Below are 1,713 nucleotides of genomic sequence, written 5' to 3' on the forward strand. Positions count from 1 at the left end.
TTGGCTTTCACAGACACACTCATACGAGTCAGGAGCAAGATCAGGAACACAGCAAAGTTTGAGCATTTCTGGCTGGGAATGGAAAATGGTAAGGCATACAGATCCAGGACACTGAAGACTAGGATTTCCGAAAATGTGACCCTTTCCAGGCACCTATCCCTGAGCCATTCCCTTGTGGTTCTGACTGCCATCTTGACTTCATCCCCTATGGAGAGGTCACCCCAAGCCTTATCAGGCATTGCCAACTCGATGTGAATTCATATATCAGATGATTTCCTGACATGAGCATTTGATGGGGGCGGGTTGGGTGGAGTGAGCTGAGGGCACGGGGGCAGGAGGGCATGAGGGCACTGGCTGCCTGAGGGGAAAAACTGGCAGGGAAAACTGCCTAATGCAGAGTCCCACCCAGGGCCAGCCCTGAGCGTGTGGTCAGCTGAAGGGAGAGCCCACAAGCCGGGAGAGACAGGAATGCATTCTGGATGCCCCAGCACAGCTGAAAGCCATGTGGCCTCTCTGGGTCAGGGCCAGGAGCACAAGCAGACTAGCAATCAGACGGCGGAGGGAGAGACACATAGCATCTGGCTCAGTAAATAACAGCTTCCAGAGAAACAGCTTCACGTGAGTGCACCATGGAACGGATGCAAGGTTGTGAGCTGCTATCAGTCCATCAGCCCCACTCGCCATGTCAGCAACGCCCAGCTACCAGAAGGCTTTGAAGGCAAAGCCCAGCAACCTCAGAACAATCCTAACAAACGTTTGTAAGGCACTTTACGATGTAGAGGTCTTTCAAATGCGTTATCTCCCTTGAGTCTCACAACATCCTCCAGAAAGTATGTATTTAAGACTGTTTTGTTTTGTTTATTTTGCAAAAGAGGAAACTGAGGCTCAGCAAAGATAAGAAACTAGGGACAGGCCTGGGACTTCTAACTCCAGACCTAATATGTTTCATGCCTTTGCTTTTCAATGTGTAGTCCACAGACCAGCAGCATTGGCTCACCCTAGGAGCTTGTTAGAAATATGGAATTGCAAACCTGGACCCCGTGAATCAGAGTCTACATTTCAACAAGATCCCCTGGCGATTCACATTTTACATACACATTAAAGCTTGAGAAGCATTATTTCTACCACATCAGACCACTCCTCATAAGCACCGGATGATCTCCCTGAGTCATACACTCTTAGGGCATCTTAGCATTTTAGAGCTGGAAGGCAATTCTCAAAAGCTCTTAGGCCCACCCTGTCGTAGGACAAATAATGACACTGACACATTTGCAAAGCAAGTCCCTAGCAGAACAAAGGTAAAACCCAAAATCTCTCTTTTGACTCAAAACTCTTCCATTGTAACTGTCCTCTTCCTATTTCTTTACGTCTTTATTTTCATATTTGGTGCTTTATATTTGGGATTGTGTTGCTTTTTTTTTTTTTCTGTAACTGGCAGACCAGTTACGTACAATTTAGGCTAATAGTAAATTTCATTGCATTTTCTGAGCACGCATTAATAGAGAATGAAACAACAACAAGAAGAGAAGCAACAATGGCCTTTTCTAGCATGACCTCCTTTTTAGGGTCAGTCACATGACAGGTAGCTGCAGAAAACCAGCCTAGTATGAAAGATCAGTCCTAGATAATCTAGGACAATCATGGAGTTGCTTACAAATATACATTAGATGTAATAATATGTGGAGAGATCTACTTAATAATAATGTGTGGAGA

General features: G+C 45.5%; 1 annotated feature.

Annotated features, from left to right (window-relative positions):
* Positions 468 to 968: an enhancer, noted in NCBI's record as "H3K4me1 hESC enhancer chr12:48329073-48329573 (GRCh37/hg19 assembly coordinates)". NCBI's record gives its function as "activates a minimal SCP1, AML or CMV promoter by ChIP-STARR-seq in primed H9 embryonic stem cells {active_cell/tissue: H9 hESC(primed)}" and the evidence as "EXISTENCE:reporter gene assay evidence [ECO:0000049][PMID:30033119]".

This window comes from Homo sapiens, chromosome 12 (genome assembly GCF_000001405.40).
Source record: "Homo sapiens chromosome 12, GRCh38.p14 Primary Assembly".
Taxonomy (NCBI): Eukaryota; Metazoa; Chordata; class Mammalia; order Primates; family Hominidae; genus Homo; species Homo sapiens.